The sequence below is a fragment of the Homo sapiens genome, chromosome 9 (genome assembly GCF_000001405.40).
Source record: "Homo sapiens chromosome 9, GRCh38.p14 Primary Assembly".
In the NCBI taxonomy this organism is placed as follows: domain Eukaryota; kingdom Metazoa; phylum Chordata; class Mammalia; order Primates; family Hominidae; genus Homo; species Homo sapiens.
Window position 1 is genome coordinate 127,107,873 of NC_000009.12, and position 24,195 is coordinate 127,132,067.

The following is a 24,195-nucleotide window of genomic DNA, read 5'->3' on the forward strand; positions in this document are numbered from 1 at the left end:
GGCTCTGAGACCCACATGTAACACGATCCCAGAAGCACTTACCCGACGGCTTGTCGGTGGAAGATGGGAGGCTGGTGAGAGTGGGCATAGTGGGCAGAGGGGGTGGCAGCACCTTCAGGTTCTGGTCACTCTGGATCTCGTTGGTAGAGATCTGGTTGATGATGCGGTTGTAGGTGGGTGGTTGGTAGACCCGGGGCGGGGCAGCGGGGGGTGGCTGGGGGACGGGCCTGGCCGAGGGCACCCTCTGGCAGTGCTCCTCAAGCTGCGCGATGATCTCTGATTGGTTGTGGGCCAGTGTGGCCAGGTGCTGGTACTTGTGCTCCAGGTCCTTGTACTTGCTGGCCAGCTGCAGCATGTCGGCTGTCTGGTTCAGGATCCTGTTCTCCAGCTGGGAGAGCTCCAACGCGTTGTCCCGCTTGCGGATGATCTCGTGCAGGAGCTGCATGTAGAGCTGCGTGACCCGCGAGTTCATGTTGCGGCTCTCCTTGCGCAGCAGCTTCACCTCGCTCACAATGCCGCCGTCCACCTCCACCAGCTGCTGCAGCGTCTCGATCTGCCGCTTCTGCTTGAGCAGCTCATTGTTGAGCAGCTCTAGCTCCTGCTTATGCACTCGGTTCTCCAGAAGCACCTCAGGCTCCTTGGAGTTGACGCAGATGGCACCCGTGACCCGCTGCTGGGGCACAATGAAGGTGTAGGTGCACTTGTCCTGGGACTCGCCCGCCCGCTTGTACCTGTTTAGGTAAATGAACTCTCTTGGCGAGCCCTCCTCAGTGCCCTCAAAACCGTCCTCCTGGCCTGCAACAGCTCCCATGGCAGCCAGCAGTCCGAGCCACCAGCATGTCACGCACAGTGGCCTCATGGTCCTTGCAAAATGGTGGTTATTCTTTGTGAATAGAATCTATGAAAGCCTGAAAGTAAACAGAGGGGAGAATCAGTGATGGTCCCACCACTGTCAGTGCCCTGTGCCATCAGTGATCCCAGCCTTCTCGCCAGGCAGGCAGAGCTTTCCAAAAACTCTGCTTCAGGATGCTGGGTTATATTCTCTTGGAGTCAGAGAACAGGCAGCCATTCTGGAAGCAAGAGGAGACAGGCAAGCCCCAGCAGAGGTAGAAGGGAAGAGGGAGGGTCTCAGGGCATCTGAAGGCAGGAGGCCATGGCCCTGCTACTCCCAGAGCCAGCTCCAATGCCCGCAGCCCCCTTGCTGAACTCCTGGCCTAGAGCCTGAGAATCGTATCCAGGCAGCTTCAGGCTGGGGAGGGGAGGCAGAGGGAGGGTTTTCTGGTCTCTCTCTTCTGCTACCTTTGGTTCCTCAGACTGTTGAGTCTCCCTATTCTATACTTTCACACCCCCTGAACTTTCCCCTTGTAATACCCATCACCGCTGTGCTGAATAGCAGTTCTGTTTGATCTTCTCTGTTGGATTCTAACTCCATGAGGGCATGTCGTCTGTCTGATTCAACCCTGTATTCCCAGGATATTGCACTTTGGGCAAATATTTGATAAACAAATGAATCGTTAGACATGTTATGGAATACATTCAGGGTTTAGTGGACAATATCAGTGGAAGGATGTGTCCAGTTACGTGGCTCTGGTCACTGTGTTAGCTAAGCTACAGAGCCAAAACAGGAACAAACAACTGAGCTCTTCTGAATCCAAATATTTGCAGTAGCCAGTGACAGCACAGTCCTGACCACTGCAACGTGATTAAGTTAGAAGGGAGCAGAACACAGAATGTGTCTCCAGATTTGCTTCACTTCTATTCTTGGACCATTCATCCTTTCACCAGATGTTGATTGAACACCTGTGATTTGCTGGACAGCATGCTAGTGGCTAGGGATACAGCTACCAACAGGATGGAGCCAGTCCCTGCCCTCATGGGGCTTTCACATCATTATGCCATTCCCAAATGCCAGAAAGCACAACTGTCACATGCTGTAAAGGAGTATTACAGGGAATTGACCTAGAGGGTCAGGAATGCTTCCCTGAGAAAGTGCCCTTTACACTGACCCTTGAGGAATGAGTAGGAGTTAAATGGGCCAAGAGGGAGGGGAGGACACGTGCTAGATCCCTTCTCTTGCCCACTCGAGGGCCTTGCTCCAGCAGTCCTCACCGTCTCCCCAACATCAGGATGGTTTTCCTATAATCATACGGTTTTTTCTCTCAACTTAAAACCCTCTCTTGACCTCACATCCCCTCTGCAGCTCTTGTTGCATTTCTCTGCTCCCCTTTTTAGCAAAGCCTCCAAAGAGATGCCTGCACTCACCATTTCCAGAAAGTTCCTCTCTTCCTGGTCTCTCTTGAGCCCACCCTCATCAGGCTTTGCCCGCTCCCCTTCATTCTAGGTTGCCCTAGACAGGATCCCCTGTCTGTTTGCCAGATGGAAGGGCTGGTTCTTGATCCTCATTAATATTTTCCCTCTCACACTGTGGGATACAGTTGGGCTCCCTTCTTGACCTTCCTTTCCAGAGCGCCACCCTGCCTCCTGTCTTGCCGGCTGTTCCTCCTCAGAGCCTGTGCTGGTTCATCCTCATATTCCTGTCCTTTCTCTACTGTTGAGGGGACCCAAAACTCAGTCCTCAGAATTTTCTTTACCTTAGTCATCTCATCCAGAGGTCACGTTGGTGATCACCCTCAAGTACTGATTACATCCGCATTTATTTCTGGAACTCTCCCCAGGACTCTAGACTCATACATACAGCTGCTTTTTTGACATTTCCACTTGACTATCTGCTAGGTATCTCAACTCATCCAGAAATGAACTCGTTTTTCCCCGTATCTCCAACCCAACCTGTTCATCCCAGTTTTTCCTGTGTTCATAAATGTCCACTCTGGTTGCTCAGGCCGAAAGTCTTGAAGTCATCCTAGACGCCTTTCTTTCTTTCATACCCCACATCTAATTCACCGCCAAATTACGATGCCAGAAATATTCTTAGAGTCCTGTGTCTCCCCACCTCCCTGCCACCACCCTGTTGCAACCCACCTGCATCATTTACCTGGACTATTGGAGTAATTTCCTAACTAGCCTCCCTGCCCCAGCCTTGCCCATCCTACCTTCTGTCCTCAACTTCACAGCCAGAGTGGTCCTTTTTAAAAAGTCAAACGGGGTCACTCTTCTATTCAAAACCCCCCAGTGGCTCACCATCTTGGAGGAAAAGCTAGTGGGTCTCCAAGGCACTCTATGATCTGGCCCCCACTTCCTCCCTGGTCTCATCTCTGACCCCTCTCCCCTACGATCATCTCCTCCAACCACCTGGTTGACCTTTTGGTTGTCTGTCAAGTGTTCTAAGCACAGTTAGGACTCAGGGCCTTTATACTTGCTGGTCCCTGCCCCCTTCTTCGTTGTTTGTTCCCTTACCTCTTTCAATCTTTGCTGAAATACCACCTTCTCAGTTAGACCCTCCCTGCTGATTTAAGATTGTGACCTCACCACATTCCCCCTCCAGTGTCCTTATCACCATAAGATACACGCTGTCTCCTCCCCGTTCCCTTGAATGCAAGCTGCATGATGGTAGGGAGGTGTTTGTGTTGGTCACTGCTCCATGTGCAGTGCCTACCACGTGGCCTGAAATACATAGGAGCTCAATAAATATTTGTTGATGGAATGACAAGACACACCTGCCAACAGCTGCTGAGCAGCTGGGAGTGCTGGAAAGAGGGATAGATTGGGGCAGGGATCCCATGGACAAGTGACTGCCTGAGGAGGTCAGAGCTGCGCAGAGGAGGGCCTATGTGTGTATTTATTAATAACATCCATTGACCAAGGTCCGCTATATACCTGACCCTGGACTAAACATTTTGCAAGTGTTTTCCAGTTTCCCGTGTTCTCATAATCTCCTTTTAAGGTAGATACTGTTGCTGTTTACATTTTACAGGTGAGGAAACTGAGACTCAGTGAGGCTGAGTGACTTGCCCAAAATCAGAAAGCTAGAAGGTGGCAGAACCAGGGCTCAACCCTGGTCTGCTGGATTGGAACCTGCTAACTCTTAACGATGACACAGGCATGTATTTAATCTGGTTTTTACTAGTAAAAGGGTATTAGCATCACTACTTTCTGATTTCACATTAATCTGTGCTAAAATAACAAGTATGACACAGGACCTAAAGATTTTGTCCTCCCTGAACCCCTTTGGGGGCTTCTCCAGTGAGGACCCTGGGTCTGGGCTCCACCTTGGACCAGCCAGTGAGCAGTTACAAAAGAGACCCTGTGCTCCCTGGGGCCTTGCTGAGCTGTTTTCCACTTAAATGACAAAGCCCAAGCATGATTCCTATGGCCTGCTCAGGCCTCTCTGAGGCTAGGCAGAGAAAGGTGTGTGGGAGCTTCTGGTTTGGGCTCTGCTAGGAGGTGGGGCTGCAGTGACGTCAGTGGAAACCCAGCTGAGTTTGGAAGTGTTTGCCTCGTTTCCAACGGTGCTTTGGCTGCCCCTGTGCTAGTGGTCACACCCACCCCAGAACAATGGGGAGGAGCCGCCCCCGACCCTGGGCTAGGGCAGGCCTGCTGGGCCAACGCCTTCTTCAGGCTGCTCACCTGAGGCAGTGGGTGACAGACACCTCTCTGTGCCCATGTGGGCGCAGGGCTCCACTGTGGCCAAGAAACTGCCAGAGGCCCAGGAGGCAACCTGGCTGCAAGACAAGGTTGGTTTCCAAGCCTTCCTGGACCTCCAGATTTGATTTGCACTATTTATGGTTGAGTTCTATCCTCTCCCAAACATGGGCTCTCACAGCTCCCCGACAGAGTTCTTGCCATTGCACTTGAGACCTCAAAGGCTGAGTCTTTTCTGTGAAATGGGATGATCCAACCCACCTTGCACACTAGGTGAGCAGCATGGAAGTGCATCAGAAGCGGGAGATTGGAATAATGTGTTAGCAATACGATAGCAAGAACAACAAAGCTGAAACAAAACCAACAACAGTGAGGATGCTGGGTGTGGGCCAGGCAGTGTGCCAAGCACTCACACCATCTCCTTGACTAATGCTTGCACAGGGCTTTAGGGCTTCCAGACCCTTCACATCAACATTCTCTCATCTAATCATTCCAACACTCAGAGTGACTTACTAGTGTTATGCCCATTTCTAGGCTGAGGAAACTGAAGCTCAAAAAGGTGTAGGGGTAGCTGACTTTGAGGTCATGTTGCGAGCAGTGGGACCTCTTGTAACTACATTGATTCTGAGTCCTACTGTTACACCTCTGTGGGGCCTAGGCTTAGTGGGGGTGACTCAGAACTGATTGGGTTACAGGAAGGAAGGGAAGGAACAGGGCACTGTGCTGGGCGCCTGACATACATTGTCCCAGGTAATCCGGTGGGTTGTTATTCACCCCTGTTTTATCAACGGAGACATTGCAACCCAAACAGGCTCAGTGATTTGCCCAGGAACACACGGCAGATAACAGCCAAAGGTGACTGAGCCTAGGACTTGGGTCAACCTGATACCAAGGGCCATGCTCCTTGGGCTTCTCTTTGAGCCTCAGAGTCATTTATTTTCCTTGGAGTCCAAGACTCCAACCCCAATTCCTCCCCTCCCCCCAGCAGTTTTTTGCCAGTTTGGCGGCTCTTAATGGGCAGTAATAAGTTTGTTTACTTTTGCTCTCTTGATATTTATTCAACTCATTGTATCTCAAGAGAAGTAACACCCCCCACCCCCACCCCGGCATTCCAGCCATCTTAGGACTGAAGAAGAACTCAACTCCAATCAAAGTGATGCTCCTCACTTTTTTCCTGTGTCCAACAAAGAAAAGCAAATCCAACTGTTTTCCTTGGCTTCAGAATTAAAATAAAAACGATTCTTAAAATTGCTTTTCCACATTGTATTGTGAGGAGTTTCCATCACGCATGGGTTTTCCCTCCCCACAAGTGAGGCTGGTGTGACTGTGCCACGTGACAGCCTTTGTACACTGGGAGGCAGCCTCTCCAGGGCTTGGGTCCCACCCAGTCTCCGGTGGGCTGCCTCTGAATGTCCCCGCTTGGCCTGATGTGGTGGGGCCACACATCATGTGTCCGCATCCCTCTCACCACTGTGGTGCCACAGCCCAAGCAAGGGGCCACTTTGTGGGAAGAGCTGTCATTTTCATCAGATGGAGCTGTGTGTTCTGCCCTGCAGCAGAAGCTGCCGGCCTGGGATCCTCTTTTGAGTTCACCCCAAAGGTTAGAAATGAGAAAAGTTCCAGCAATTAAAAGAATAACAACAATAAATTGTCACTATGGCTCAAGCACTTTATATACATTATCTCACTTAATCTTCCCAACAGCCCTCGGAAGGCGGCCTGTTATTTGAGGGCCGCCATGCATGGTGGCCCCACTTGAGCACTGTGCTACTCTAGGGGACACAACTCACATTCATAGTCTTTATGTTTTTTATATTTATATTGTAGCAATTTTCTGATGCCCACAAAGATACTTTTAAGGCTAACAGCAAAGCTGACATTTATCCCTATTTGCAGTTGAGGAAACTATTGAGATTTGAGGATCGTGAGTCATTTGCCCAAATCACAAATTAATAAGTAGTAGAGCCACTAACAGATCCCAAAATAACCCCCAAAGATACCATACTGTGAATAAAGAGAAACCAAAGTGCCAAAGTGACTGGAAACCCAAAAGAGGTTGTTCTCTGACCCTCTAGGCAGGACGACGACAGGAGTGCTCTTGCCGTCATTAGGCCTGCAGATCCCAGGGAAGCCTCCAAATTAAATCCGGATCTCAGGAGTTGATTCATCATCAGTCCAGGTTGTAGTCCTGCCTGGAGGACTTACAGAACCACCCCCTCACCACCCGTCCTCTGGTCAGCACTGCCCATTGGTCTGTGATCACAGATGAAGGCCAATAATGGGTCCACGCCATAAGAGGCATCCCAGCACTGCAGGAGGCCTGAGAAGCGGGCCTCTGCCAAGGCAGTCAGGGAATCTGGAACTGCCAGCTGGCCCCTGACGTCGGGGTTCTGGGAAGCTAGAAGCCTGAGCTGTGCTTGAGTGAGTCTGGTGGACCTGAGCATGAATCAAGTTTGTGAAACTATCATCAGGACAGAAGACAGATGAAAACATCAACATTAGCTAGCAGGTGTTCCTACTAAGCTGTTGAAATGTATGGTGTGCTGGTAGGGAAGTATCCAAACCAGTTGGTAATCCAAGATGTGGGAGGGATCCAGATGAAGGAAAAGGCCCAGCTGATCAGGTGACCAGTAGTATTGCTAATAATGGCTGTCGTTTGTTGTGAATTTGGGTGCCCAGCTGTACTCTATCTCATTGGCTCTTAATAGCTCTATGAGTAGGGGACCATACATCCTGGTTGGCCCCAGTTGAGGTCTGTTGTCTTACGTAATTATTATTATTATTATTATTATTTTGAGATGGAGTTTCGCTCTTGTCACCCAGGCTGGAGTGCAATGGCACCATCTCAGCTCACTGCAACCTCTGCCTCCCGCTTTCAAGCAGTTCTCCTGCCTCAACCTCCTGAGCAGCTAGGATTACAGGTGCCTGTCACCACACCTGGCTAATTTTTGTATTTTTAGTAGAGACAGGGTTTCGCCATGCTGGTTGCGGTCTTATGTAGTTATTAATAGCACCCCCTTTTCACTCTCAATATTGTCCTGACTGAGCAACAAACTATATGATCCCATTACCTAAGAGAAAGGTATTATATCTGCATTTGGCAGTAGAGGAAACCCAAGTCTAGAAAGGTTAGGTCGCTTGTTCAAGATCACTTGGAAGTAAATATCACAACTGGGATTTAGCTGTCAACTGCTAGGTCCAAACCCTGCCTTGCATCAAGATTGTCTCTTCAACCAGTATGAATAAAAGGTGCTTGTTTGTTTAATGGCTGAGATGCAGCTTGCATGTTACTCACTGTTGACTGAATAAGTAGAAATAGCTTTCAGGTCAGCACAAGGGTGTGTTTTGTTGGATGTTGGAAAGAGCTGCTTGATCACGCAAGTGGTAAGACCCCAAAATGGGCATCTGGGATGAGCAGTGACACCCTCACCTTGGAGAACCTGGTGAAAGGACTGTGCATTGTTTGTCCTGGATGATTCACCATCAGCCCGGAGGCCAGGGAGGGCATATCCAGATCTCCAGCTGCCCTCCCCTCCTGGCTGAGGATGCTATGAATGATTCCCCACCAGAAGGCACCTGGGGAGTCTGGAGTCAATTCCCAAACCCTTCTAGTTCAGCTCTCATAAGACCATTGAATGAACCATTTATCCATCCATCCAGCCCTCCATCACCCACCCATTTAGCCTTCCCATGCAGCTAGCCATTGTGCATTGCTACTACCTGTCATGGGTGATGGGAGCCATGAGTCAGAGAAGCAGGGTAAGACAGATTTGCCTGGAGGAGTAGCACTGGGGGTTCGAATCTGCCTGATGCTTTGGGCTCTTGTGCTCCTGCCATTGGTGAATTGCTGGCTCCAGGAAGAGTTCATGGAGGAGGCGGGTTGTGGTCACACCATGAGATCATAGGGTAGAGGGGGATGTGGTTAGGGAGTGGGGGAGCTGGTTGCCTTTTCCGGGGGACAAGGACACTGCTGTTACTTTTTCACAGTGCGTTATTTGGGAACCATTTTGAGATTCCCCCAAAGTCTGTGCACTGAGGCCTCTGTGCCAGGAGCCTTGGCCAACAGAGCAGAGGCGGGGAAGAGTCTGCAGAAGCCATTTCAGAGTCCAGCTTCTGAGTTGGCTGCTGCATTTCCGGCAGTGCCTAGTGTGCTCTGGAGCCCTACAACTGGGAAAGCCCTAGACAAGAGGGAGAAGTCAAGGGCTGGGTGGACAGCACTGCCCCAGGGTGACTTTCTTGGGAAGTCCAGGCCTTGCCTGGGGCTGCTTTTCTGGACCAGGCTGAGAAGTTGGCACCAGGGCCACCTTGGCTGTTTGGATGGACTTGTTCCTCAAACACTGGGACAACCAATGTTTGTGTCTGCCTCACTGATCCCGGTAGCTCTTTGAGGCAGGGGCTATGACTATCCTCATTTCACAGATGAGCAAACAAAGGTAAGGGATGAAGCCACTTGTCCAGGGGCACAGTGCTACCAAGTGGTGGAGCTGGGCCCAGTAACAGATTTGTCTAACCCAGGGCCAGGTTTCTTACCCACACAATCCTAATTGGCCTCCCTGCCTTTGGGTGCTCTCTCCCCTGCAGTCTACACTGCATGCAGCTCCAGGGCTGTCTGTCTGACACCCACATCTGATCATGTCAGCGTCCTGCTTAAAAACAGACCTTGTGTTGTCATGCCTCCCTGCCTTTGCATGTGCTGTGCTTCCTGCCTCGAGTACCTTCCCCCACTGTCCTGGCTGATGCCTGCCTGTCTTCCTAAGTTGACCTCACCATGAAGCCATCCATTCAGTGAGGTCTTCCCTCCCTCCTTCAGCTCACAAGTGCAGCTGTGGCTGCTTCCAACTCAACACCCAAGACTCAGATTGCAGTCATCTGGTTATCTCCCTCCTGACTACAGCTTCTTTAAAAAGCAGGGCCAGGGCAGATTCCTCCTCTGACTACTGAGTATCCAGGATGGCACCTAGGTTACTAAATAGGAATTCAAGAACTTCATTTGTATAATGTATTTCCCAATAAGTTCTCCTCTTCCAGCCACTGTGCCAGCGGCTGGAGGTAGAACAGGAACAAGGTGGGTGAGGTCCTTACCCTCAAGGGGTCCACGGTAGTAGGTGAGACAGAGACTAGGCATTTGTAATGCAAAGAGATCCATGCCCAGATAGGGAAACTTGGGGGGCTGTGGGGCACCTGACCTAGCCTCAGAAAAGCCCTTGGCTGGACAACAGAGAGAGGAATGGTGTGGCACCCTGGGGTAGAGAAGCTTGTTTGCTTGAGAGCCTGGGCCTGAGGCTTGCTTCATTGATTCATTCATTCCACAGATATCTTTTCTACCTGGCCCTGAGTGGGTATTAGAGATTCGGCAGTAACTGAGACAGACACAGCCTTTCCCTCATGGAGGTTGGAGTGGGACCACCTCAGGCAGGACTTTAAGGATTCTTGGAGCTGGGCAGGTCCTCAGGCATCTCTTGAAGATAAGAACAGAGTCCATTCTGGGCTTTTCCTTGGTGGTCTTGGTACTGCCTGTCTGGACAACTAGGCAGCAGGGGGTTGCTGAGGCTCTGGGGCTGCTGGCCCCAGACAGGCTGATTTCAGCAGAGAATGGACTGACACAATAGTTCAGTTGTGAGAGGCCTGGCTCCCCACACCCAACATTTTATTTTTTATTTTTGAGATGGAGTCTTGCTCTATCACCAGACTGGAGTGCAGTGGCGCGATCTCAGCTCACTGCAACCTCCGCCTCCCGGGTTCAAGGGATTCTCCTGCCACACCCAACATTTTAACATTCCTGGGACCAAAATGTGGCTTGTGATTGATGTGTACATGTGACAGGCCATCGTAACGTTGTAACCCCCAACACTGTTATGAACTCAGTCATATGGCTCACAGTCCATGTGAAAGAACACAGTTTTGTCATAGAAACTACCCCCAGAATGAGGCTTCTGACGTGACCAGTGTATCACCACAAACTCCAAGCTGCCTGTGGCTGAATAACTCTTCTATTTGGGGTGTTTTATATAAATTCACAAAAAAGAAATGCTATTCAATGAATTGATTCTTTCTTGAGATTTCCACAGTGTGGTTGTCCAGGATGGCAGCAGGCTGGGGTGGAACCAGCACAGGTCTGGGTTTCAATCTTTGCTTTTTGGCCCATGCATGGAGAGACCGTGGGAGAGGTGCTGCACCCTGACCCCCAGTTTCCACTTCTGTAAGACGGGGACAGCACCACCCACCTTGAGGACCCTCTTAGCTCCTTGTGCCACCTCTTTACAGCTTTCACACAGTTGTGTGTTTGTGTGATTATTTACTGTCTGCCCAGTCCTGCTGGGCTGTGGGCTCTATGAAGCAGAGCCCCTCCCCCATCTGCCTGCTGTCAGTTGAGACCATTCCAGATTAAATGGGCTGTGATTCAGAGAGGCCAGTTGCTGAATGTACCTGCTTTGGCAGGGCTGCTGTCTGTTATGTTTGTTCTATTGTAGCTACCCATTGCCATCTCCCTGATGTTTTCTCAGAAATTGCTCGTGTGTGGCCCAGTGTGGGTGATGAGGACCTGAGCTCTGATTCTTCAGTCCTAAAGGAGCCTCCAAGTACGGATGTAGAAAGCGCATCAATAGTATCTTAGTCACATGGACCAGTGTTTCCCTGAGGCTCTGCCCCCACTGAGCTGGGGACAGAGTTTCCTGGTGCTGATGTGGTGAGACAGTATCGCAGAGCACCCAGGCACGTGGAACAAGTCAGCCAACCTGGTTTCGAAGCTCAGTTCCTCTTGTCACTGACCATATTACCACATAACAGGTACCCTCATAACTGTGCTGAGGCTCATCTCTAAGAGTAACAGTCATGCCTATTTTGCCTCAGAAGTAGGCTTCCATGAAGAGCAAGGGATGCGCTAAAGTTGAGTAAGTCCATGGTTTTCAGAGGGGTTGGTGCAGCATTCGATAGGACAGCAACCAAAGCAGATGTGGCTACTGACGACACTGGGCAGGGACCCAGTGACAGTCAGGATAAGAGAAGTTGAGGTGTCTAAACAAGGCACTGAAGTGAGAGGAAGTCAGGGGCTTTGGAGCCAGACAGAGCTGGGTTCCAGTCCCACATAATCACATAACTGTGTGACTTTGGGCAAGTTAACCTCTCGAGACTTAGTTTTCCCATCTGTAAAATGGGATGCTAAAACTAGAACCTACCTTCTAGGGTTGTGGTGAGGATGAAATGACATAATGTATATGCCTTATTTAGCCCAGTGGGTACTTCCTAAATCACTGGGGGATGGAGGGCCAGATGGAGGAACAGCTTATTTGCTCTGCCCGTGAGCTTCAGCAATAACATGTAGTCCCCTGCTGGACCATGTGCGTTACACATTTTTGTCTGTTCCACCCAGACTGCCTCATTAGTAGTAAGTAGTCCCATTTTTTTTGCCAAGCTCATGAAGTCAGTCAGAGCCTCTGCTCATCCTAAGCTGCCCAGAGAAGACAGTGAGCCACCATGGTTCCAGGCTGGAGCAGGGAAACCTGTGGCTTCAGTAGCCCCAGAGGCCTTGTGCTAGAGAAGCAAATACTTGATGTCACCTTTTCAAAATGCTTCCAAGCGTGCAGGGAGCCCACTGGAACCTCAGGGGGCCACAGCACAGAAGCTCCTCTCCTGGGCTAAGATGTATCAGTGTTGTCTGGTGTAAGATCCACCAGACATGGCCACCATAGTGCCAGACTTGGTGATGGCCATTCCTTGCCTCTTCCTCTGCAACTCCGGGGCAAACCTGACTATGGATCCTCCTGATTTTGTGAGCTTCCCACAGCACTAAGGTAGCTGCATTTTCTTATCCACTATGGTTCTGCTGGGGAGATCAATAGGCAGACAGGCAGTGCCCATGTGGGAAGCAGGATGCCCTTCCTCCTGTAAGGTTGGTATTAGATCCTTTTGTTAATATGTCTGCACTTTTTCTTAGTATGGACTTCTAGGATGCAGGCATGCTGCAGGTGGCCCCAAACCCAAACCCCAGACATAAAGCCCCCCTCTCCTCAGGCTCCTGGAAAGCCCTCCAGTGTGGGCAGTGATAGTAGCCACAGTATTATCTCTGTCTCGTGGGATTTTCTGAAAACCCTAGCAGGATATGTCCAGAACAGGGAAAGAATTTGGGTCTCTGGCCGGGTGCAGTGGCTCACGCCTGCAATCCCAGCACTTCGGGAGGCCGAGGTGGGCGGATCACGAGGTCAGGAGATCGAGACCATCCTGGCTAACGTGGTGAAACCCGTCTCTACTGAAAATACACACACACAAAATTAGCTGGGCGTGGTGGTGGGCACCTGTAGCCCCAGCTACTCGGGAGGCTGAGGCAGGAGAATGGCGTGAACCCAGCAGGCGGAGTTTGCAGTGAGCCGAGATCATGCCACTGCACTCCAGCCTGGGTGACAGAGCGAGACTCCATCTCAAAAAAAAAAAAAAAGAATTCGTGTCTCTGCTCTTCCCTTCCCTCTGTGCCAGTCCTGATTGTTGTGGTTTGTAATCATCAGTGACCAAGGTTTGCTCAGGGTTTGCTGTGCACCAGGCACTAAGCCAAGGCCTTCCTAGGCATGGGCGCCTAGCTTTCTCCTAGAAAGCAGTAGGGTGTGGTTGAGTGGCTCCGGAGCCACACCACTGGGTTCAAGTCCTGGTCCTGGCACTTACTAGCCATGTAGCCATGGGCACATTACTTTACCTCAGTTTCCTCACCTATAAAACAGGGATGAATAATAATGCCTGTGCTATAGGGTGGTCATGAGGATTCTACAAGTTGAGTCTGGCATAGAGTAAGTGCAATATAAGTGTTAGCTGTTACTCTCTGGCCATTGTTACCACCTGGGCAGTATTATCCCATTTCACAGATAAGAAAACTGAGGTTTAGAAAGGCTAAGTGTTCTGCCAGAGCCATTGGCTAGTAGGTAGAAGAGCTGGGATTTGAAGCCAGCTCATGAGGACTGCCCTACTCTGCCTCCATTTGGAAAAATACATGTGGGGAGCATTTGGCCGGCTTTGGAAGTGGCATTCTCAATTTTCCCCAGAGAGTGGGGTGAAAGGAGATGCTTTTCCAAGTAACTGAACTGGCCTCTGGGAGCTCTCATAATCCTACAGCAGAGGCAAGAGCTGACCCATGACACACATATCATAGAAGGAGAAGGGAAGGATCAGTGAAGAATTTGTTTGGAAATGTTATCTAATACTGAGTGCTTTCAGGCGACTTGGTATGTGGAGCCCCTGCTGTCCCCTTGCGGGGGTACCAGGGAAGCCGCATCCTCCCTGTATCTTGGCCACATCCACTCAGTTGGAGACCCGGGGTACCATCCAGTGCAGCAGCCCCTGGGTGATGCGTCCGTTCCCGTGCTGGGTGCCTCTGCTCTCCTCGCCAGCTGGAGGGTGTGAGCAGAGGCAGCCCAGCTCCTGTAACTCTCCGAGCAGGGGCTCCCAGCGCCTCAGCACAGCGCTTGCCTTTGCCTCACATTGTCCCGGCCTGGGGGCATAGGAATCCAAAGCTTCAAAGTGACTACCCAAGTCCTTGGGCCACCCCTGCCTTCTGCAGCTCTTCAGTACGCTGCCCTCTAAGCACACACCTACACACACGCACACTCCCAGCTGCTCTGCCGTGCCGGGAGCTGCCGGCCGGCACCCCAAAGGCTCTTTGTCCAAAAGAGGAGAGTGAGGCTTACTCATGAAGTCCTCGAGATGCCAGCCCATGATCATGTGCCCCCAAACACCACCAAATGTCCACAGGTTCTGCCCCGGACATGCCTCGTTTGGCTCCAAGCGATAGCAGGGAGTGACCCTCTGAGATCCAGCAGCACACACCCCCAGCTGGAGGGTCAGGGTTCTGGAAGCCCTAGCCACGGGGCCAGCGGCTGCCTCTCGCCCCTGCCTCTCATGGCCGCAGAGCTGGCCCCTTACCTCTTCCCTCCTGCTTGGCTCCGGGGCGGCTCCTCACATGCTTCACCCTGGCCGTCAGCGGGGCAGCCTGTCCATGGCCTCTGGAGGGGTTCCTGAGTTGCAGGCCGGTGGCTGCCAAGCAGCCCTGCCTCACTGGGCTCCACTGGCTCTGCCTCCACAGAGGGCTCCGGCAGAGGCTGGGGCCAGGGCTGGCCAGGGGTCCTGCGGGGCTGCTCACAACCTTCTTTCCCTCACAGTAGCGTCAGCCGCTGCCTCAGTGCCACGCTCGGCAGGTCCAGGGCTTGGGGTCCATCCTCAGGCCGTCCGCAGCAGCCTCATTTGAACTCCCAACTCCTTTGTGGAGCCTTTACATGCCGCCAGAGGAAACTGTGAGCACAGCCTGACCCTGGTTGGCTGCAGGCGCTTCTCTCCACCCACCAGTGCAAGAGGATCCCCCAGGCCCCAGAAAGGCTCCGGGCCTCCCCTCAGCCCCAGACAGAGGCGGGCCGCCCGGTGATGTCACACGAGCTCCGGCCCCAGCTGGCCTGGCCCCTCCCGCCCAGCCCGCTTTGGCGGCCTCGGCAGGCCCCCTCCTTCCTTGGCACGGGCAGCCTGGCCAGCTCTGCTCCCTGGCCCGCCCTCTCCCCAAAGCTCAGGCAGCTCCCGCGTGCTGCGAGGCGGAGCGCTTCCCCTTTGACTCAGGGAATGGGTTTAGATCCGCTCCAGCTGTGCGTGCAGCCGCGTGCGAGCAGCAGGCAGCGGGTCCTCCCCCTGGATGCCTCGTTGGGCACTGCCCCACTGAGCCCCAGGCTGGCGGGCGGGGCAGCTCAGCCCAGAGCGCCTCTCCCCATCAGCCGCCCTTCGTGGAGGCCTCATTCTCATCTCTAAACCCTGGGGAAAGGAGTCCAAGGCTGTCCACACAGAAGCTGTGGCATCGGAGCTGCTCGAAGTTAGCAGGAGGCAGTGGCTTAGGACAGTGGAAATACCACAGGCTGAGGGTGGAGGCAGCCCTGGAGGAAAGCTCTGTGACTTCACACCTGAGTGGCTTTGATTAATTCACTTCACCTCTCTGGGCATCCCTTCCATGCATCGGTAAATGAGCTAATTAATACTAGTAATCTACCTGCAACAGCTGCAGCGAGGACTCTGTGAGGTCACGTGGGAAGGAGCTTGGCACAGTGTCAAGGACGCCTCCTTGAACTGAGCTTAGGACTCTGGAGATGGGTGGATCAAGGGTCTCCTGCTCCCAGAACCTCTGCTTTGTGATCCTCTTTAGCCTGTGTTTTCATCAAAATGTGACCTCCTATTGGGCTCTTCTAGGAACAAACACTGGAACTGCATCAGAGTCCTCAGCATGGAGCCAGCCGCATAGGTGGAGCTCTGTGAATGTTGATAGAATCAGAGTAAGAAAGGAGAGGATGGCACTGGACCCCATGATGCAAGCATCCTCCAGACACGTCAGCACTGGCAGCCTGGGAGAAGGTACAGTCAGTGCAGGAGGACAGGCCTGCTGCCGGGCACCCTGCGGGGATACAGAGAGTAGGAGGATGGCAGGCACCAGGAAGGGAGCCCCAGGGTACAAGTTTGCCCCTCTGCTTGGACAAGAACATGTGAAATATTGGTGGTATCTTTGCTTTTTTAAAAAGGTGTTAGTGATGATGGTGGTGATGATGTTTGGGAACAAATTGGGAGAAAAACTTTAATGGGACTCTCCCTGCCCCTAGGCATCCTCCCTACTACCAGGCACCCGTCCCAACCCTGTGGCAGATTCCTCTTTCAGAGATGGCCCAAGCAATCTCTCCCAGTCCCCAAGGAGACCCTGACACTTCACCCATGGAGCGGTGAGGTCCCTGCTCCTCGCCTTGAACCCGAGAGGGTTTGTGACTTGCTTGTGACCAGAGGAATGTGGTGGAAGTGGCACCACCTGACTTCTGAGGCTGGGAGAGGAAAGGCAGCGCAGTCTCTACCCTGTTCACCAGGGCACTCTCTTTTGAAGCCCCGAGCTAAGCTGGAGCCTAAGAAGTCCAGCTAGAGGCCACACACAGTGTAGGTCCCAGCTGACAGGAGCATCAGCCGCAGACACGTGAGCAAGGAAAGATGCCTGTAGATGATCCCAGCCCTTAGCCACAGAGTCACCCCAGATGCTGCATCACTGTCAGCTGTAGAGTCTTCCTGTTGAGGCCCCACACACTGGGGAGCAGAGAGAGCCATTCTACTGTTTCATCTCCAAATTCCTGACCCACAGGCCCCATGCGTATAATAAGATGGTGGTTTTAGGCCGCTAAATTTTGGTGGTAATTTGTTACACAGCATTAGTAACTGGGATAGACTCGGGCAAGAGCAGTTGGAGGGAGCCCTTTAGAGGAGCTGAGAGAAGTACATTGTGGCTGAGGAGAGAAGATGGGGTCTTGTTAGAGAGGTGGAACTTTATTCCAAAGACAGTAAGGAGCCACTGAAAGGTTTTGAGCAAGACAGTGTTGAGACTTGGTTTTATTTTTTAAAGGCTACATTAGTTATTGAGTGGAGACTGGATTAATGTGAGCTACAGACAAAGTGTCCTAGGACTTTCCCACCCTCTGGTAACAGGTCCAGCACAAGCCCCTTGGTTACTGAAAGAAAGTTGTTTTCACTATTCAAAGTTCTTAGGATCCCCTCAGTGGAGAAGGAGCACCAGGGTGTCTTGCCCCATCCGTCTTTGCACACCTCCCGCCCCACTGGTGGCATTGGGCAGTCAAAATTGGTGGCATTGGGCACTGGGGAGCTCAGGAGTCAGATTCTAGTTCTACCATTTGGTTGCTCTGACCCTCACTTTCCTCATCTGTAAAATGGGGATGATATGAGGATCTCCCTCACAGGGCTGTGGGCTGTTGAGAAAATGAAATAAGATGTGATACATTAAGTGTAACACACACTGCCTAGTACAAGGCTCAACAAAAAGCTCTTGTAGTTTCTGTTGCTTCCTTCGTTGGGCTGTGAGTCCCCTGAGGCAGGGGTGTGTGCGGGCCATGTAGCGCCCTCCTTTCGTGTAGCCCAGTACAGAGGAGTGAATAAACGAACTGCTGGCTGGAGGAGGATGAAGAGCCATGGCTCAAAGTCTAAGGGACCTGTGCTCAAATCCCAGCTCTCTCACTAATCTCGGGCAACTTTCTTATTCTCTCCGAAGCTCTGTTTCCTCACTTGTAAAAAGGGGATGCTACTACTCCCAGGGTTACTGTGAGGATTGAGTAAGATGATGGGGCTGAAGCATTCGGCCCTGCGCCCGGCTGCAGCATTTAGCGGTTGCTCAGGAAATTGCTGCTGTTGCTTCTGCTCCTGCCCTCAGACTTCTCCCCACTCCCACCCTGATCCTCTCCAGCATGCTTCTAACTTGGTGACTCCTGGATCTCCGTGTCCCCCTGACCTCCTTGAGCACCGTTCCCACATTTCCACTTGTCTGTCAGACAGAAGCATCATGTGACTAAAGCATTTGAGGAGAAGGGAATCTTCCTTTCCTTTTTATAGTTTTTATCATTTAATGTGTGACTTTTTAAAATTTTATCAGTAAATGCGTGACATTTACATGGTGGTAGAATACAAAGATTCTTCATGTAAATGACACAATTCGTAAGAATGATTTCGTGTCTTACCACCTTCCTGACAGTTGCAGGTTTTTTTCTGTTGGAAACAGCGGGATGGTCCACTGGGAGACTGCGTATATATGAGGAGCGGTGGGTCAGGGGATGCAGGTATACTGTGTTCTTAGAGGGGTGTACTTGGGAGGGGGCAGTTTTGCTGTATCTTGCATTCTCAGAGTGCCACCATTATTTGAAGCTTCACACATCCCAAACTGACTCTTTCCCATACCCCACCCCACCCCTACCCCCAACTCCCTGCTACCTTCAGTACTTTTTAAATGTCTTTCTGTTGTCTTCTGACCAACATTGTTTCTGTTGAGAAGTCAACTGCCTTCCTTATTGTTGTTCCTGTATACATAATGGATCTTCTGTTTTCTGGCTTCTTTTAAGATTTTCTCTTTATCTTTGATTTTTTAGCAGTTTGACCATGATGTGACTAAGTGTGGTTTTCTTTGCCTTTATTCCATGTGGGTTTACTGAGCTTCTTGGACCTATATGTTTTTACTAAATTTGGGGATATGGGGAGAATTTTTAGCCATTATTTCTTAATTTTTTATGCTCAATTATCTCTCCCCTCTCCTTCTAGAACCCCATTTACACACTTGTTCTTCCACAGGTCACTGAAGCTTTATTTGTTTATCTTTTCTTGTCTCATGCTTCAGTTTGGATCACTTCTCCTTCCTGTCTTCACATTTGCTAACCTTTTGTCTACAGCATTTAATCGGCTGTTAATTTCGTCTAAAGTATTTTATGTCAGATACTACAATGTTTGGTTCTAGAATTTTCACTTGGTTTATTTTTATAATTCCCATTTCTGGGATTCCATATCCACTGATTCATTCTATCTTTCATGTTCTCAAAATCCTGTGCATGTTTATAATAGCCATTTAAAAATCCTTGCCTACTAATTCCAACATCTGGCTCATTAGTGAGTTTGATTTTACTGCTTTTTTTTCTTGATTATGGGTCATATTGTCCTGCTTCTTCACATGTCTATAATTTTTTATTGTATACTGGACATTGTGGATGATACATGAAAGACATTCTGTATTTTCTTGTCTTCCTCTAAAGAATGTTGGGTTGTGTTCTAGCAGGCAGTTAAATTACTTTGCCTTCTGTTGTGCTCCTTGGAGTCTCTCTACTTGTATACAGTTTAGGAGTTAGCTAAGGATTTGAAGGGAATTGGTGTAGTAATTTTGGGGCTTTCTCTTCTGTAGTTGTGTCTTTTCTGGCATTTCCCCACTAACTTTCCACCCTCAAAGTCCAACCTCTTTCCCATCTTCCCAGACAGTAGACTGCTGCTTTCTGTTTCAGATTCATTCTTCTGTGTGTCACCGTGAACTGGGAAATGCTCTAGTATGCTTTCCTTCTCCACTGATTTCAAGCAGGTCTTTTTAAATTTTTTTAATATTTTTGGTCCAGAGTTTGTAATTGTTATTGACCAGAGTAGTTGTTCAAAACAGTCCACTCCTCCATTTCAGGAACTGGAACTCCATATCCCAATGAATTTGTTTTCTCACCCAAACCTTCTGTACCCGTTCTGCTGTTGGTGCTCTGCCATGAGCCTAGTTGGTTGGTTGTCCTTCATCCAGTTGTCTGTCCTCCCTGCTTCTGATCATAGTCTGTTGGGAAATGTCAACCCCAAGATCCCAGGTTGGTACATCTCAGTGTACCACCTGAGCACTAGAAGGTGAAAGAGATGTACTGTCCTCACAAGCCCTGTTGGAGCACCTTATGTAGCTACTTGTGATGTGCTAGACATTGAGCTCAACATTTATAGGTATCACTTCATTTTAAAACCATATGAGTGAAATATTACTATTCTATTTTACTAACAAAAAGATTGAGACTTAGCAAAGTGAGGTTCCTTGTACCAGGCCACACAGCTAGGAAATAATGGGACTGGGAATAAAATCTGCATCAAAGCTAGGAGGAACACGATTGTCCTGAAAAAAAAAAAATTTTGCTTGTTTTTATTGTTATTATACTTTAAGTTCTGGGGTATATGTGCACAACGTGCAGGTTTTTTACATAGGTATACATGTGCTGTGTTGGTTTGCTGCACCTGTCAACTCGTCATTTACATTAGGTATTTCTCCTAATGCTATCCCTCCCCCAGCCCCCCACCCCCCTCTCTGTGTCCATGTGTTCTCATTGTTCAGCTCCCACTTATGAATGAGAACATGTGGTGTTTGGTTTTCTCTTCTTGTGTTACTTTGTTGAGAATGATGGTTTTCAGTTTCATCCATGTCCCTGCAAAGGACATGAACTCATCCTTTTTATGGCTGCATAGTATTCCATGGTGTATATGTGCCACATTTTCTTTATCTAGTCTATCATTGATGGGCATTTGGATTGCATCTAAGACTTTGCTATTGTGAACAGTGCTAAAAGTTGCTCTTGTTTAATACCAGCATGCTGCTTCTTGTTTTAAGGTCTCTGACCAATCAAGATGCTTCTCACCATCAGTGGTGTGTCATAGTCTAATTGGCAGCACTTTTTCTTTCCTAGTAGAATGTGATGCTTTTTACAGTTGATGACTTGTCAGATTCAAGGAAGTGTGGCAGTTTTAGTCATCAAGGCCCCAGTGAGGTTGGCCTGTGGCTGAGGAGCCAAAAGGCAGAGCCCCTCCTCTCCTGGTCAGCTGGCCTTGGAAAGGTCTTGGGGAGTGTCCAGGCATCAAGAAGCCTGTGGAACTGCCAGAAGCCTCCATCAGTCCAGATTTAATAAAACAGCTGCCACTAGACTGAGTGTGAGCCAGCTGGTCCCCTCCTCTCTTGAAGGCGCGTGGTCAGGTCCTGTGACTCTCCGCACCATGCCGGGTGGGGGAACCACATGTTCCCTGGCTCTGGTGAGGAGAAGTTAGGAGACTTGGACTTGTGGGACGATTCTAAGGTGGTGCTACTGTCCAGTGTCACAAAGGATATCCAGGCACCGTGCAAAGCCCTTTGAGGACACTGTGACTGTTAAATGCTGGCCAAACAAGTATATCCAAAAGTCATAACAGGATGCATGCTTGGGTACAAAGCAGCTTTGAGAGCCTGTTGTTAGCTCACGTGTGACTTCTCAACTCACTTGCCAGGGGACCGTGAGGACAACACCTCTCCTCAAGTGTGGGTGTCACCTAACAGCCAACAAATATTCGTTTTAAGCTCCATCTGAGCACCAGAGTTGGGCTCTAGGTCAATTTGCCCAAAGACAATTTGCTGAGAATTTTAGCTGACTGGTTTTCATTTTGTTTCGTAACAGTATTTTAAGGCGTGTCCAGCTCTCTCATACCATAGCTGGTGCATGGCCCCATCCCCAAGAGAGGAGACTGAGGACTGGCAAGAGTAGAGATTTAATTTTCATTTGCTGGTTTGCTTTGTTTCTTCATAGCGAAAAATTCATAGACACTTTCCAAAGCTGTTTAAAATAATTCCCATCCAATATAAATTTTTTAAAAATATTGTCACTTCTGGAACATTGTCTGTGCCAGACAGGACCTATATCCCAAACAGGAGACAAGGTACTGAGGACAGCTTTATAGTCAGTGGGGGGGGATTCCAACCCCCTTACACAGGTACCTGCTGAAATTCCCATTCCAAAGACCAGCCAAGCTGTTGCTGACCTTGTTTATCTTTCCTGGGACCCAAGGAGGCAGCTGATTAGATAAACGAGGGCTTCTGGCAAAAGACTGATAGAGTGAGCCTCTCAGGAATGAGAGCAGGGTGGTGTCACCCCAGATGGAGGTGCTGGTGCTGGACAACAGGGGCTGCTGGCAGCGACCTTTCTGACTAGTAGGTCTGATGTTGGGGGTTTCAGGGGCACCCACATAGGCCCTGCAGGGAGTAAAGGCAGCCAGTGCAGGAGGCTTGCTTCAGTCCTGCCAGCCTCCAGACTACCCCACCGCCTTCTCTCTTCCCTCCCTGGGCTGGGCTGGGTAATCCTGGCTCAGAGGCCTGCAACCCTGGAGGGCAGGGATCTGTTTTTCCTGTCTGCTCAATATTCTTCATCTGCTCCCAGGATCTGCTCTTTGGCACCCTGCCCTGTGCCCAGATGCTGGCTGACCTGTGGGGATTGCCTCTATGGGCTCTCTTACCTTCTGGATTTGGGTTAGGGCTGGCCTGTGGCAGGTGCCCACAGGAAGTGAGAAGATAGGAAGCGAGTGAGGACACGTGTGTCACCAGCTCCCTCCCTGTTGGACCATAGGTGACTTGGTCGAGTCGATAGGAGTCAGCTAGGCTTGGGTTTGAATTCCACCTCCACCCCTTATTAGCCCTGTAACTTATGAAATTTACCTATCCTCCCTGAGTCTCAGTTTCCTCATTTAAGAACTGGAGATAGTAATATCACCTTCCCAAGATGGCCGGGAGTAAAAAGTGAGACATTGTGAGTACAGATGTCCTAGTGCAATATTGGAGACATAGCAGGTGCTCAGTAAATGCTGGCTTTCTTCATTTAGTAATTTGGAGCCTTGTTATCTTGGGTTTCTAATACACTTGGGTCCTCTGAAGGTCATCAGTCATTTTGTATCTCTCCGGACAGCTTTCCTTTAAGTTGTCCCTTTTTGGTTTGCACATCTGTCACTGTCCCCAGAACCACTGCCATAGAGCCTGACTACTAATAGTCCTTTAGTCAAAGAAGTATTTCTCTGCCTTTTCCTTTGCCTGCAGCCTGTATATGAAGTCTGCTTAACCAAAGAAAAGAATCCTTTTAACATAGTGGAAAGCAAGCTTATGGAAAGACAGTGCATGTATTGACATCCAAAAATAATTCATAATATTCACTGAGCACTTATTGATCCTTGCAACAACCTTATGAGCTACGGTAGATTCTTTTATTATTCCCCAGTTTTCAGATGAAGAAACTGAGGCTCAAGTTAATGGACTTGTCCAGGGTCACACAATGGGCCAGTGTTGACCTTTGGCCAGTCTGGCACCCAGAAGCCTGCCCTTTCAACCTCTTCGTTATCTGCCTATGTGATGGAGAAGGCTCAGCTCTCCAGGCCCTGGGGACCATGTCATTTTAGACAATTGAATTGGCTAGAAAGCTACAGGGTTATCTCTTTCAACATACAGTGTTTTAAAATTTGTATTTATTCTTGTTATGTTTCTGCACAGACCCACACATGCATATGTGCACTCGCCTCCATAAACTTGGCTAATTACACTATTGGCCGCTCCTTGGTGACTCAGTCGTCTTGAATAGACTAGCTTGACTGTGGGCTGTGGGGGTGGAGGGCAATGTTGACAGGAGCCCTGTAAGCCCCAGGCAGCCGTGTTTGTTGGTACTTTCCTAGCAGCCTCTCATCCCTCTCCTGATTTGTTGCTTCTCACCCAGCTGAGATTCCAGAAAGCTGACAAGAGTTATTTGTAAATAAAAATAACTGGTCACTAAACTAGTCTAAAGGGCTCTCCTGTGAGTAAAGTAACTGAGACTCACTGCCTGGACTTGATTACATCAATATTGGGTACTCACAGGCCTTTGAAGCTTGCAAGACCTCTGTTCTTATGTAACAGCCAACAGCCGCCATCTGTTACACACTCACCACATGCCTGGCACTGGGGAGGCCTCCTGTGTGGATTACGTCATTGAGTTCTCAAAAACGGAGCCTCTCAGGAGAAGTTCTCTTTGTCCGTCTTCCATTTTAACTGATGAGGTAGCTCAGGCTCAGAGTGGTGAGGGAGTCTACATCTACGCAGCCAGTAAGCAGCGAAGTCAGGATTAGACATGGGCCTGTTTGACCCGGAGTCCACACTCTTAACAGACTTCAGTCTCTACAGCTTCCCAGCAGTGTGAGGTTGGGCAACTTAGGGAGGCTCCTGACCCTCGTGTCTTCATCTGTAGGATCATCCTGTTTATGTCCAGAACTATTGTGAAGGTTCCTGGAGGTGTGTGCTTGAGATATGCATAGCAGGCACCCAGTCAGTGGTGGGTCCTTGTGCTCACCACTTCAGCCCATCCTAGGTCAGTGGTTCTCGAGCTTTTGCGCTTCAAGATCAACTGAGGGCTTGTTAAAAGTTTGCTGGGCCCCACCCCCAGTTTCTGATTCAGTAAATCTGGGGCCCGGGAATTTGCATTTCTAACAAGTTCACATGAGGCCCTTGCTGTGGGAACCACTCCTCGAGATAGAGGAGTTTGCCATGAAGGAGAGTCAGGACTGGGCTGGCAGTGACCA

General features: G+C 50.0%; 2 protein-coding genes across 57 annotated transcripts in view, besides 5 other annotated features; one reads left to right on the top strand and one right to left on the bottom strand.

Annotated features, from left to right (window-relative positions):
• ANGPTL2 (angiopoietin like 2) overlaps positions 1-14,763 on the bottom strand; it is a 35,288-nt gene extending 20,525 nt beyond the window's left edge. For both annotated transcript variants that reach the window (NM_012098.3, XM_006717030.5), the window contains exons 1-2: positions 14,443-14,763; positions 43-908 (exon numbers count right to left, since the gene is read on the bottom strand). In NM_012098.3, the coding sequence (NP_036230.1) occupies positions 43-859 (817 nt within the window). In that variant the 5' untranslated portion in view covers positions 860-908; positions 14,443-14,763. The remainder of the gene's footprint in view (positions 1-42; positions 909-14,442) is intronic.
• RALGPS1 (Ral GEF with PH domain and SH3 binding motif 1) overlaps positions 1-24,195 on the top strand; it is a 308,385-nt gene that overhangs the window by 193,091 nt on the left and 91,099 nt on the right. The gene's annotated exons all lie outside the window — the stretch shown is intronic.
• Positions 3,984-4,595: an enhancer, noted in NCBI's record as "OCT4-NANOG-H3K27ac-H3K4me1 hESC enhancer chr9:129874135-129874746 (GRCh37/hg19 assembly coordinates)". NCBI's record gives its function as "activates a minimal SCP1, AML or CMV promoter by ChIP-STARR-seq in naive and primed H9 embryonic stem cells {active_cell/tissue: H9 hESC(naive and primed)}" and the evidence as "EXISTENCE:reporter gene assay evidence [ECO:0000049][PMID:30033119]".
• Positions 4,198-4,492: an enhancer, noted in NCBI's record as "tiled region #532; K562 Activating non-DNase unmatched - State 20:ReprD". NCBI's record gives its function as "activates a minimal TATA promoter and a strong SV40 promoter by Sharpr-MPRA in K562 cells {active_cell/tissue: K562}" and the evidence as "EXISTENCE:reporter gene assay evidence [ECO:0000049][PMID:27701403]".
• Positions 14,076-14,709: an enhancer, noted in NCBI's record as "H3K4me1 hESC enhancer chr9:129884227-129884860 (GRCh37/hg19 assembly coordinates)". NCBI's record gives its function as "activates a minimal SCP1, AML or CMV promoter by ChIP-STARR-seq in naive H9 embryonic stem cells {active_cell/tissue: H9 hESC(naive)}" and the evidence as "EXISTENCE:reporter gene assay evidence [ECO:0000049][PMID:30033119]".
• Positions 14,710-15,343: an enhancer, noted in NCBI's record as "H3K27ac-H3K4me1 hESC enhancer chr9:129884861-129885494 (GRCh37/hg19 assembly coordinates)". NCBI's record gives its function as "activates a minimal SCP1, AML or CMV promoter by ChIP-STARR-seq in naive H9 embryonic stem cells {active_cell/tissue: H9 hESC(naive)}" and the evidence as "EXISTENCE:reporter gene assay evidence [ECO:0000049][PMID:30033119]".
• Positions 15,344-15,977: an enhancer, noted in NCBI's record as "H3K27ac-H3K4me1 hESC enhancer chr9:129885495-129886128 (GRCh37/hg19 assembly coordinates)". NCBI's record gives its function as "activates a minimal SCP1, AML or CMV promoter by ChIP-STARR-seq in naive H9 embryonic stem cells {active_cell/tissue: H9 hESC(naive)}" and the evidence as "EXISTENCE:reporter gene assay evidence [ECO:0000049][PMID:30033119]".